This window comes from Homo sapiens, chromosome 18, assembly GCF_000001405.40.
Source record: "Homo sapiens chromosome 18, GRCh38.p14 Primary Assembly".
In the NCBI taxonomy this organism is placed as follows: Eukaryota; Metazoa; Chordata; class Mammalia; order Primates; family Hominidae; genus Homo; species Homo sapiens.
The window spans coordinates 8,377,316-8,389,356 of NC_000018.10; the positions used below are offsets into that span (position 1 = coordinate 8,377,316).

The window sequence follows — 12,041 nt, forward strand, 5'->3', positions numbered from 1 at the left end:
GGAAACCTAATCCCATTTTTTTAGCTAACATAAAAATAACAGAAACTTTAAATGCTGCTTTCATGGGTTCTTTTCCTTAGAAAGGGGATACTGTGTTTGAAAGATAATAATCGTAATAATTTATCTTTTAATGTACTTTATAGTCAATCAAATGTTGCCACTCGCATTTCTCACTTGGATCTTCCATTTTCAGGTGTTGTTTACTGGTAGTGTGCTGTTTTTGGGAATCAATCTGTTGGACAAGAGGTTGTTGAAAAAAAATAATTAAAGGTCATATTTATGTATAGAAAAAACCGAATTAACTGTAATAAGAGGCTTTTTAAACTTCCCATATAACTAAAGATTAATAATAAATATGATAAGACTCTACCAATGAATTTTAAGAAAAGTCAGTGCCAAATCAGAATTAGAGGCCCCATATTTACACTGTGAACTCATTGAAGATATATATGAGAACAGCTCTCTGTACTTCTAAGAGGTTTCATAATCATATTAACTTTTATGTTCTGAAATAAGAACTTCTAAGTACTTTTATGTTTTGAATTAAGAACTTCCAGACTTCTTGTCTTCACAGTAATGCCAAGTTTTTCTGGACCTTCTTTGCACTATTATTTTGACCAGCAAATCCTACCATAGACAAAATTCTGCTCATTCCTCATGTGAAATACTGAGTTCCAAGTGAGTAGGATCAGAATGACAGAGGTCTTCAGCCACAGTTTTCATGGTGCTGCAGTGCGTGTGGTGGTTTGTATTGGGTCCGATTGGTTTTAATCAATCTGTGTAATATTTGGCATTGCACCCCAGTCTCCTAGCACTTGAGCCCTTGGACCGTGTTTCTCTCTGGAGGAACTGTCTCCACTCTCTTGATGATGTGGGGCTAAAATTGATACCGTCTTTCCTCCTTCTCTGGTTCTCTAAAGTTAGTAACTCGTTCCATCTCCTTCTCCAGGAGCAGTATGTGTTTATCCACGATGCGATCCTGGAAGCCTGTCTTTGTGGGGACACCTCTGTGCCTGCTTCCCAAGTTAGGTCTCTGTATTATGACATGAACAAACTGGATCCACAGACAAACTCAAGCCAGATTAAAGAGGAATTCCGGGTAAGTGATGCCTAAGGGAGGGGCACTGCACGGTGACTTGCTCCTCAAGAAGGATTTCAAGGTCAGCACCTGAGTGAGCCCTTGAATCACAAGGTTCCTTGGCCTCCATAGCACTGTTCGTATTCAGGGCTGGGTAACCCAGAGCTCTACCCAGGAGACGTCTATGGTATCACCACCACACAAAAATGTGTGTAGACATTGCCAGGTGTCCCCCTGGGGGACAGAAATACCTGGTTGAGAACCACTGGTCTAACAACCATTTCCACTCCTTCCCTCTGAAGGCAGACATGGACTAGTCCCCAACACCATGGCTCCTTGTCCACAGCATAACCATGGCACAGTTACACCATGGAAGTGTGTGTTCAGACTTTCCAACCAAGAGCTCTCCATTGTATTCCTCACATATGCATTTTGTCCAGATGTACCCGAGTCAAGGCCAGACTCTTCCCCCACCTCTGACCTCCCAAATCCCCAGGTGCCTCACTCCACTGGGACTTGAGGGCTCTTAATTCTAGGGACCCACAGTGGCCCTTACGCCTCTGCCTCTGGCCCCTGTGTCTGATGGGCACTGTCAGTGGACGAAATCCAAGGAGCAAAAGAAAGAAAACTCGAACTATGGTGGGTTGGGGAGGGAGGGGGAAGGGACCGTCTTGCAGTCAGCCACAGGAAGTTTGCATCTTTCGAAAACTGCACGTGAGAGGAGTCCGCTGCCAAGGCTTCTTGTCCTCATGTTCCTTTCTTTTCTCACGCAGACGCTAAACATGGTGACACCAACGCTGCGAGTAGAGGACTGCAGCATCGCACTGTTGCCCCGGAACCATGAGAAAAACCGGTGCATGGACATCCTGCCCCCAGACCGCTGCCTGCCCTTCCTCATCACCATCGATGGGGAGAGCAGCAACTACATCAATGCTGCCCTCATGGACGTGAGTGCCCCGCTTCCCGCACGGGTCCGAGGCTGGGGTGTTTGGGGAGACTGCAGAACAGGCTTGGGTCTTCCCCATTCTGCTCACCAGCCCTTTTGTTTTTTAAGACACAAACTTTTTTTTCCAACAAAAAATAGATTTCAGATTCCACGTATGTTTTTGTGTCGGGGCTGATATCCTTCGTTTCTCAAAGACCACCAGGCCAGGAGTATCCGTAAATGCAGCATGGCACAGTTGCCCTCTGAGAGCTGAGACTTTTAACCTGCTGGCTGGGGAACAGGGGACACCATGGCAGGAAAATGGGTTAATAGATTTGCAGCATTATTTTAGTTCATTTTCCTGTAATTTAGCCTGCAGTTAACATAGGGGAAAGTTCAACTCATTACTTCCTGCCAGTCTGTTTTCTTATTGCTATTCCGTTGATGCAAAGAGTGAATGGGTATGTTCTGTGCTAACACGGAAATTTTAATTCTGTTGGTGTCATATCATAAAAGGTACCTGAACTTTTTTGAAGCTCTTCAGAGCTGTAAAAAAAAAGTACATGTATTCTTTACGGCAGAAATAAGAACACTGTCACACATACAAATTGCTAGCAAACAAGTTTTAGAAAAAGCAGAACTTTTAATTATGTGTAATTTTAAAAGTAAAGTTAAATTTTCTCCATCAAGATAATTATGTATAGATTCGATATTGCCTCTCTACCAGAAATATTTTAAAAATTGATAAGAGATACTAATTAAGTTTTCTTGGTATCAAAGTAAGACTTTTATCACTATTATTCTGCAGAGAAGTTTATATTTAGTCTATGTTGGTGCTGACAATGGTGACAGAATTCAACAGCTGTTAAACATGTTCAGTGTTTTGTGCCACAAGCTTCCTTCTGCATGAAATAACCTAGCTTCTTCTCTTCCCATTTTCCTGAGTATATTTGGAGCATTCTTGTTTGTGTTTGCAGAGCTATAAACAGCCTTCAGCTTTTATAGTCACCCAGCATCCTTTGCCAAACACAGTGAAAGACTTTTGGAGACTGGTCCTGGATTATCACTGCACATCCGTAGTTATGCTAAATGATGTGGATCCTGCCCAGGTGAGACCCGGACTTCTTACAGTCAGAACTAGTGCCAGGGGGTCAAGTTTGTTTTTACACTGAGTTTGTTTGCACCCGAGAAGTGCAGGCCCTAGTGCCAGATCTCAAGTGCCAGTTGAAGTTGAGAACTGGGGATGCTGAACACAACGGTTAAAAATCAGGCGGAATTAGGGGTTAGAAAGTCAGTTGAAACCAGAAATACAGGCTGAAATCATAGATGGTTGAGGTGACAGGGCAAGACACGGCCAGAAGTTGAGCTGTTCCTAAAAGATGGAAATACTCACTGGAGGTTGACAAGGTCGCAGACCGAGTTGGAGCTCAGCAGGAACCTGAACATCGCAGAGCCAAAGCAGAATGAGCAAACCAGAGGACAGTGGAGAAGGGAAGATAGCGTTTGACCCAGCCCAGATCCCATTCCTGGAGTGACTGTGTGCTTCCTGGCACAGCTCACCGGGAGCCTACAGGTAGAGATCGTCATGCAGGGCAGGTAGAGATTGTCATGCAGGGTGACAGTGTCGGGGTGACAGCAGAGACAGGCAAGCAATTTTAAGGCACAGCAATTAGTTTTCTCAATGCTTTAGTAAAGATATTAAAAAGAAATAATACTGGGACTTGGAGATAAGAGAAGTTTGGAATGATAAATGGGGCTTTTGCATAGTTACTCTTAAACATTAAAGAGAAAGAATTGGACAGTGATGACTCAATGTTAGTAATGGAGTTAGACACATTTTCTTGAAGCAGGTTGTCAGGCAAGCATTAGCACAGTGGTCCTTTAGGAGATGAATTTATTGCTTTGGGATGTGCCTATACCAATCATAGACAACCACCATGACAGTAGGCATTATGGGAAGTTTGACCTTAGCGTGTTTTAAGAAAAAACTTGTTCTGGAAATGAATTAATTTCCTGTCCAGTAGACACAAATTCTTTTTCTTAAAAAAAAAAAAAAAAAAAGTCTGAAGCATTTCGGCATCCCAACTGGACATGATGGCAAGATTTTTCCTTCCTACAATCTGTTTTCTTGCCATCATCCAGCCATAAATGGCATGGACATTCAATTCAGTTCTATAAGGTTTTTAATTATGTCTGAGGCACTGCATTATATTGTCAAAGCTCTTGCCTGAAAGCTGGTTAATGAAATAGTAATGATAATCTTTGTTCTTATCCAGTCCTTTTGGCTTAAGAAGCTTAAATATTTTAAAACTCTTCCCCACTGATGCTCTGAGAAGGTTAGCTTACAGTCATTTATAAAGACAAGCAGACACCACGGCTTGTGAAGCTTCAAAGACCCAACTCAAAATAGAACCAAGGGTCCTGATTTTCTCACTTACAGTGGCACGGCCGAAATTTCACTAATTCTAGAGTCTTAAGTTGCAGACACTTATAGAATAAGGGACTTCTTCCTTATTTAGAATCATGATGGTTTTTTTCTTAATGTGAATCCTGAAATGTGGAGATATTTTTGTTCATATTAGTGAACAAGACATCAGTGATTCTAGTGCATTCTTTTTGAAAAACTGCATTGGAATTCTAAAGCCGCATTCTAAACCCGAACTATCTGGACTCAAACCAAGCCTTGGCTGGCTCATGGGTAGGAGAGACAAAAAGACTCCAGTTCTATTCAGCAGACAGAGCTGATTTTCAGAGTGAGAGAAAAGAGGCTCCTGGGATTCAGTCTTTTAGCGAACACTAAACTGAGCATTTGAATGTAAAGGCTTTGCAATTCTACAAGAATAGCACTCAACTATTTTAAGTATTTATAGGTCCGGTTCACGGACGTGTTATGCACCATTTAAGCCATTTTCTACATGGTTTACTTGGGCAGAGCATAGAATGCAATGTGCCAAGAGGCAAGTGCAACCCACGTCACTCATATTTCTTTGGTGTAAGTGGCAAGCTTTTGGTCAGGAGCTTGAACTGAGAAAGCAAGCAGAAAGCAGAGTAAGCTCAGGCAGTAGAAAAATGGGCAGAACGGTTCAGATGTACATGTTACAGCTTTTATTAACATCTCGGCTTCCCATCATAATGCCTATTAATTTCAACAGTGGGTACACTTTGGGCATCAAAAAGAACATAAACATCACATGCTATTATTTGACAAGGCAGTTTTATAACTTGTCACCAGGAAGTGCTGGTGAGGAAGGAAATATTTCACGGAAGCATTATTTAAAAATAAATAAATGTAATTTTTAAAATACTGTCAGCATAGCTAACATAAAAGGCACCCTTGGTTACCCTACTTTCATTCTTACTTATAAAATCCCAACCTTAACTGTTCTGTGATGGAGAGAGAGATACTGCTGTTTTGATTGGCCCACTGCTAACTGAAAACTATCCTGCAATCTTGGGTATAAATCAACCTTAGCAACCTTTGACAATGAGATTTTAGATCCTTTGGAAAACAGAAGTCATCTAGAAATTCAGCCAGTGGATCCTCCTTTCCTGACACATCATTCTGCATAAAATTAGGTGATTGTCTTCCTCTGCTCTTGGCCCAGGATAGAAACAGGTTGTATAATAAAGTAGTTCTCCCCTTGCCTTTCCATAGGCCACCTGTCCCTCAGCTAAATCAGAAAGATAAAAGTTAGATGCGGCCAGGCGCAGTGGCTCACACCAGTAATCCCAGCACTTTGGGAGGCCGAGGCGGGTGGATCATGAGGTCAAGAGATCGAGACCATCCTGGCCAACATGGTGAAACCCCCTCTCCACTAAAAATACAAAAATTAGCCGGGCGTGGTGGCGCATGCCTGTAGTCCCTACTACTCAGGAGGCCAAGGCAAAAGAATCGCTTGAACCCGGGGGGCGGAGTTTGTGGTGAGCCGAGATCACACCACTGCACTCCAACCTGGCGACAGAACGAGCTTCTGCCTCAAAAAAAAAAAAAAAAAAAAAAAAAAAAAAAAAAGGTAGATGCTACTCAAAAAAAAGTTATAGGAATAAGAAGTCCCAAAGGAAGAGTAATTTCAAACTTTAAATGCCTGTTAAGGTTTCGGGGCTTTGAGAAGGGTTTTTGAAGAAAAAAATCTTAGCAGTTCTTCCTTCCTGACTATTTCCAAGGGTAGGAATTTTGTGGGGTGCTGGCTAATAAGCACCTTCATAAGCCACCATGCCCAGCACCACTCCTACTGCCCTGAGTTGTGCATTTACATTCATGCAAATGTTTTAGTTACTCAGTATCAACAATACCTAGAGTTTGAGGCTGTAGGAAATTGCTTTTTTAATTAGGCCACTTCCAGGCAGAACAGCAAAGCATTTATTCTTATTACAGCAGATTTGCTAGATCTGAGCTGCAAGGGTTTGGACTGGAACATAAAAATGCAACCCAACAATGTTATCAGTTCCAAACCTTGTCACAAAATAGCCTTATTCCCAATAGTGGTTATAAATCCACATGCAATCCCAGCCAGCAGAGCGTGGAGATCTGGGCATTAAGAGTTGTATAGCCATCTTGAGTACCTTACATCCTGGGGTGGCACCTAGTGCCTCTCCCCGGGGCCTGATGAGAGTTCCCTTCACCATGCAAAAGGGGACATGGCGACTGCCATCCACATGACCTCGTTGGAAAGCAGAATTACTCATGGCTTAAAAGGTGCTTTCTGAGAAAATGAAGGAAAAAGTCCCAGGAAAAGGACAGGTGGAGTTGAGGAATCAGCCAGCAAGGAAGTCCAAAAGCCTACATTGCTGGGAGGAAAAGAGAAAGAAAAGAAAACAAAGGGAGTCAGTGAAATCTTCAGAATTCCTGAATGATGTCTCCAAACACAGCATCCCACATCCGTAATCCCAGCAATTTGGGAGGCTGAGGCAGGAGGATCACTGGAGAAGAGGGCTTCAAGACCAGCCTGGGCAACATAGCGAGATCCCTGTGTCTCCAAAAATACAAAAATTAGCCAGGCATGGTAGCACACACCTGTGGCCCCAGCTACTTGAGAGGTTTAGGTGCAAGGGTTGCTTGAGCCCAGGAGCTCAAGGCTGCAGTGAGCCATGATCGCACCACTGCACTCTAGCTGGGGAGACAGAGCAAGACCCTATCTCTTAAAAAAAAAGGATTACTGAGTGTCAATACTAACCTTATCCAAACTGTTAGGAGTAAATTTCCTCTTATAACTAACCTTGTGTTTATATGTTTTGAATTCAGTTGTGTCCACAGTACTGGCCAGAAAACGGAGTACACAGACACGGCCCCATCCAGGTGGAATTTGTCTCTGCTGACCTGGAAGAGGACATCATCAGCAGGATATTCCGCATTTACAATGCCGCCAGAGTAAGAGACGGGCCTGTCATGCCTGTGATTATGGTTTCATTTATTTTCTCACTCACTGAATACTTGGAGCACTCACTCTATGTCAGTCACTGTTCCAGGAGTTTGGAGTATGTCAGTGAACCAAAAAAACATAGATTCCTGACCTTATGGAGCTTACATTCTAATAGGAGCAGTATTTAGAAAGTAATGATACTTATTAAAGCACGGCAAGGCAGATTTTATTCAAGACCATCACGATAGGTGCAGGGACCCCTGTCACAGGACCTTGCAGTGGGTGAGAGAGAGTGGGCTCAACTCCGAGTGTGGCATGGGCAGGCAGGAATTTATAGCCAGCAGGCAGGGTGGGGGTCAGTGGATGGAAAATTACTAAGGGGAGGCATGAAGAGTAAGGGGGGTTCTGGCTAAACTGACTTAACAGGATTCTGGCTGAAGGCAGGCCAGGTGACCAGACATCCGAGGAACCTGATCAGATATCAAACATGGTCAGGTATTAAGGGTGGGTGGTTCTTGCCCACGGTGACTTAACAGAAATTGCTAAAACTGGATTTTACAAGGAAGTTCATGGATAGGCCTAGGAGAATATTCAGGAGCCTGACGAAAGTTTGGTCAAGCAAAGAATTATTGTCAGAAATCAGACAATAAATAACAGATACAATAATAGATGTAGTAAGTTAGGAAGTGACAAATTCTACAGGAAAAGAAGTACTGGGGTTAGAAAGTGCTAGGGCCTTACAGTGGGGAGCAAGCTCTGTTGTAAGCATGTGTGCCCTGTGAGCCAAGACGGAGGAGTCCAGGGAGCACCGAGGCTCTCTGGGGAGGCAGCTTTCCAGGCAGAAGGAAGGGTCAGTGCAGAGGCCCCAAGGCAGGGCCTTGCATGTGAGTGCCAGGACAGCAAGGAGGCGGCATGGCCCAGGCTCAGTGAGCAGAGGCAAGAGTAGCTGATGGGGAGTGAGCAGTTCACCTGGAAGGACAGTGGCTTGGGGGCCCCGGCTGGAAGGGCCTGGCAGTCACTGTCAGCATTTGGACTTTTGCTTTGAAGGAAATAAGGAGCCATTACAGAGTTTTGAGTGCAAAAATCCAATGGTGTAATTTACATTTTAAAAGGAGCACTCTGGCACCTGTGTTGAGAATAGACTGGAGGAGAGAGGCATCAGGAGGCTGTTGGGATAATAATCCCCGTGAGAAATGACAGTGATAGGAGAGGAGATCATGGTGAGACGGGAGAGAGCAGGAGTGGAGGTCATGAGAAGGGGGAGGTTCTGATATTTTCTGAAGGAAGAGCCAGCACAATCCTGGGGAATGGAGTGGGCTCTCACGGTTCCTGTCCTGAGAGCTAGGATGATGGAATGGACACTGACTGAGTTGTTGTCCAGGCTGCCCGTGTAACCGGATTGTTTGTGGGTGGGGGGCATTGTGGAGAGAGGATCAGAAGCTCAATTGTAGACATACTAGGTTTGGGATGACTTTTAGGCCCCTAAGTGGGAATATCAGGTGGGCCTTTGAAAATATAAGGGTGAAATTCAAGAGAGAGGGCTGAACCAGATATATGAGTTTATGACTTATTGGGATATTGGTAATATCTAAAGCCGTGAGCCTGAATGAAATCAAATGAGAGGCAGAGGAAGAGGAAGGGCCCCAGGGATTGAGCCTGGGGGCTTCTGTCAGCAAGAGGTCTGGGAGAAGGGGAGACTGAGGCAGAGAGAGAGGGAGGGACTGCTGTGGGAGAAGGACCAGCCAGTGAGGAAAGCGTGTTGACAAGAAGAGAGTGTCACCCATGTCAGATGCTGCTGAAGGCCACAGAAGATACAGTCCAAGTGATTTAGCCGTGGCCAGATTAAAGCTGTTTTCATGTTTCTATCATAAGCTAAGTAACACTTTTTTGAATTCTGCAATTCTATTTCACTATGACTAAGGATTAATTAACTATTGCTATCTTAGCAAGATTCAACATCAATAAGCAAAACCATATTATGCTCACAGGAAGCAGTGTTCTCTATCTTCACACTGAGCTCAGAGACATTTCCAGGTTATAAATTATTCATTACCTGTAATTTACCTGTAATTGAAGTTATTTTACCACTTAACATGACAATGTGGTCAGTGCTTATGCTGTGTTATTTTTCTCTTGGCTTTTGCAGAATGGGAAGCATTCTGCCTCACTGGCCTGTCATTTGTCTGGCCTGTCATTTAAAACCCCTGGTTGTTTTTAACTGCTCGAGATTAAAAACCATAACTCTTCAGGCCAGCAGAAGCCACGTTGGTAATTTGTAGGCAGGACTCGCCTTTAATAATGGGAAGATCAAGTAAGTGGAATCAGCCCACTGGAATTCAGTAAATAATGCCTGTTTTCTTTCCACTCCCCGATTGTTGCCTTGTTCTTCGTAGCCCCAAGATGGATATCGGATGGTGCAGCAATTCCAGTTCCTGGGCTGGCCGATGTACAGGGACACACCAGTGTCTAAGCGCTCCTTCTTGAAGCTCATTCGCCAGGTGGACAAGTGGCAAGAGGAGTACAATGGCGGGGAAGGCCGCACGGTTGTGCACTGCTTGTAAGTGCTTGACAGAGCTCTTCATTTCAGAACAGCGAGGCCCCACACTCACTCTCACCTCCTAGTTCTCTGACTTTTGTTTCACTAGAAATGGAGAAGAAATAAGTAGGTCTAGGTGAAGGGGTGATCATGACACTCAGTGAGGGATTGGTTGGCTTTTCAGGAAACAGGATATGCACATTCTGCATTTGGATGGTGTGCCGCTGCCGCACAAGCAAGCACTGACCGTTTCATTAGGACCCCTGCCTCCGCCGCCCACTGCCAAGAGGAAAAAAAAAAAAACACTGGCTCTTGAGAGCCAATTGTTAAGTTTTCAGGAATTTTCTGAGCTGGGTCTTCAACTGTTGGTAACTTGAATTCATCCATGGTAGAAGGATTTACATCATGGAAATCAACAAATGCTACAACTCAGGGCTCCTTCCCACCAGCCAAAGGCCAGTTTACCACCACATTACTTGATTATTCAATTGGAAATCATGTCAGGTCTCAAAGGACCTGGAGTGTGTGTGTGTGCGTGTGTGCGTGTGTGTGCGCGCGCGTGCATGCTTTTTGGGAGAATGTGTATATTGGGAGCATTTGGTTACAGCCAGTGTCCCCAGAATGAGGCTTCCAGGCCAGCAGGTTTTGCAGGTGCTAAATATGGGCACCCCTGCTACACATAGCCCGCAGCCTTACCTGCACATTGAGAATTATTTGGGGAGCTTTACATGAAAAAAAAAAAAAGCCCACACCTAGGCCACACCCCAACCAATTAAATCAAAATCTCTGGGAGTGGGGCCCAGACATGGGTGTTTTTTTTAAATGCCTAGGTGATTTCAATGTGTTGAGATAATAAGGTTGAGAGCCACTGAATGGAGAATGCCATGTTTCTCAAAGCACTTTCACCTGCATTTTCTCATTGGCAGTGATATGTAGCTAATCAACCAGCTGCAATCGGCTTAATAGAACAGGCAATTAGAAAGTCACGGCAGATAAGGAAGATGTTTAGAGAATTTGGGGAAATTTAAAGGATAAGCGAATGTCACTTTTCAGTGAAGTATCATTAGAAGTACACAATGAGATCTCTCTTAAATTGAAGGCAAAATAAAGTTTCACTCCGGGTAGATCAAGCCTAGTTAAAGTTGCAGACCTGGCTCAGGGCGTGGGTTACTCTCCAGTCAGTGCCCTTGTCTGATGCAATGCCACCTCCTACCCCGGGCCTGCAAAGTCTCCCTGGAAGCCCAGGACTCTGCCTGCCTCTCAACGATCAAAACACGATAGTGTCTCATCCTGCAGGAAACTGATATTCCTTTGGAAGGAGCCTTAAGAACCTACCCACAGTTGTCTTCAACCAGAAGTTCCAATCTTTTGTCCTCTAAAAAGCAGTTTATTAACCTCACCTTTCTCTAGTTGCTGTCATCCCCCCTTTCTTCTCATGGACCCAGTGCATTAAAAAATCTCTGTTGGCCAGGCGCAGTGGCTCACGCCTGTAATCCCAGCACTTTGGGAGACCAAGGCAGGTGGATCACGAGGTCAGGAGATCAAGACCCTCCTGGCTAACACGTTGAAACCCCGTCTCTACTAAAAACACAAAAAATTAGCCAGGCATGGTGGTGGGCACCTGTAGTCCCAGCTACTCGGGAGACTGAGGCAGGAGAATGGCGTGAACCCGGGAGGCGGAGCTTGCAGTGAGCCGAGATGGCGCCACTGCACTCCAGCCTGGGGGACAGAGCGAGACTCCATCTCAAAGAAAAGAAAAAAAAAATCTCTATCAAGAAAATGACAAAAAGAATTCATTAGCAGTCCACATCCCTATTTTTATTTCTCTTCAATCCAGATCCAACCTCTGATCAGAACAAGAGGCTCACGCTGAGATGATACAATCCCAGCAAAGAATATTAACATTGTAGTTCGTTTGTATTAGATATATCAGATTTTTCTAAAATACTAAAAATAGGTTGCAGTTACCCCTGCCTGCATCTGGAGACCCCCAGCGTCTGGAGCTAGATGTATAATGCATCGCTCCCCCCGGGATTAGCAGCTTTCTAAAAAGGGTCAGTGCTTTAACCCACAGGACTAAGTTACTAGTGACTCGAAGAAGTTGAGGCACCAGGACAGGCCTAACAAGAAGACATAAAGACT

At 44.3% G+C, this 12,041-nt stretch overlaps 1 protein-coding gene across 29 annotated transcripts in view; it reads left to right on the plus strand.

Moving 5' to 3' along the window:
* PTPRM (protein tyrosine phosphatase receptor type M) overlaps positions 1-12,041 on the plus strand; it is an 839,541-nt gene that overhangs the window by 810,000 nt on the left and 17,500 nt on the right. For all 29 annotated transcript variants that reach the window (XM_011525708.3, XM_047437715.1, XM_011525712.3 and 26 more), the window contains 5 exons: positions 950-1,099; positions 1,852-2,025; positions 2,981-3,112; positions 7,246-7,371; positions 9,757-9,920. In XM_011525708.3, the coding sequence (XP_011524010.1) occupies positions 950-1,099; positions 1,852-2,025; positions 2,981-3,112; positions 7,246-7,371; positions 9,757-9,920 (746 nt within the window). The remainder of the gene's footprint in view (positions 1-949; positions 1,100-1,851; positions 2,026-2,980; positions 3,113-7,245; positions 7,372-9,756; positions 9,921-12,041) is intronic.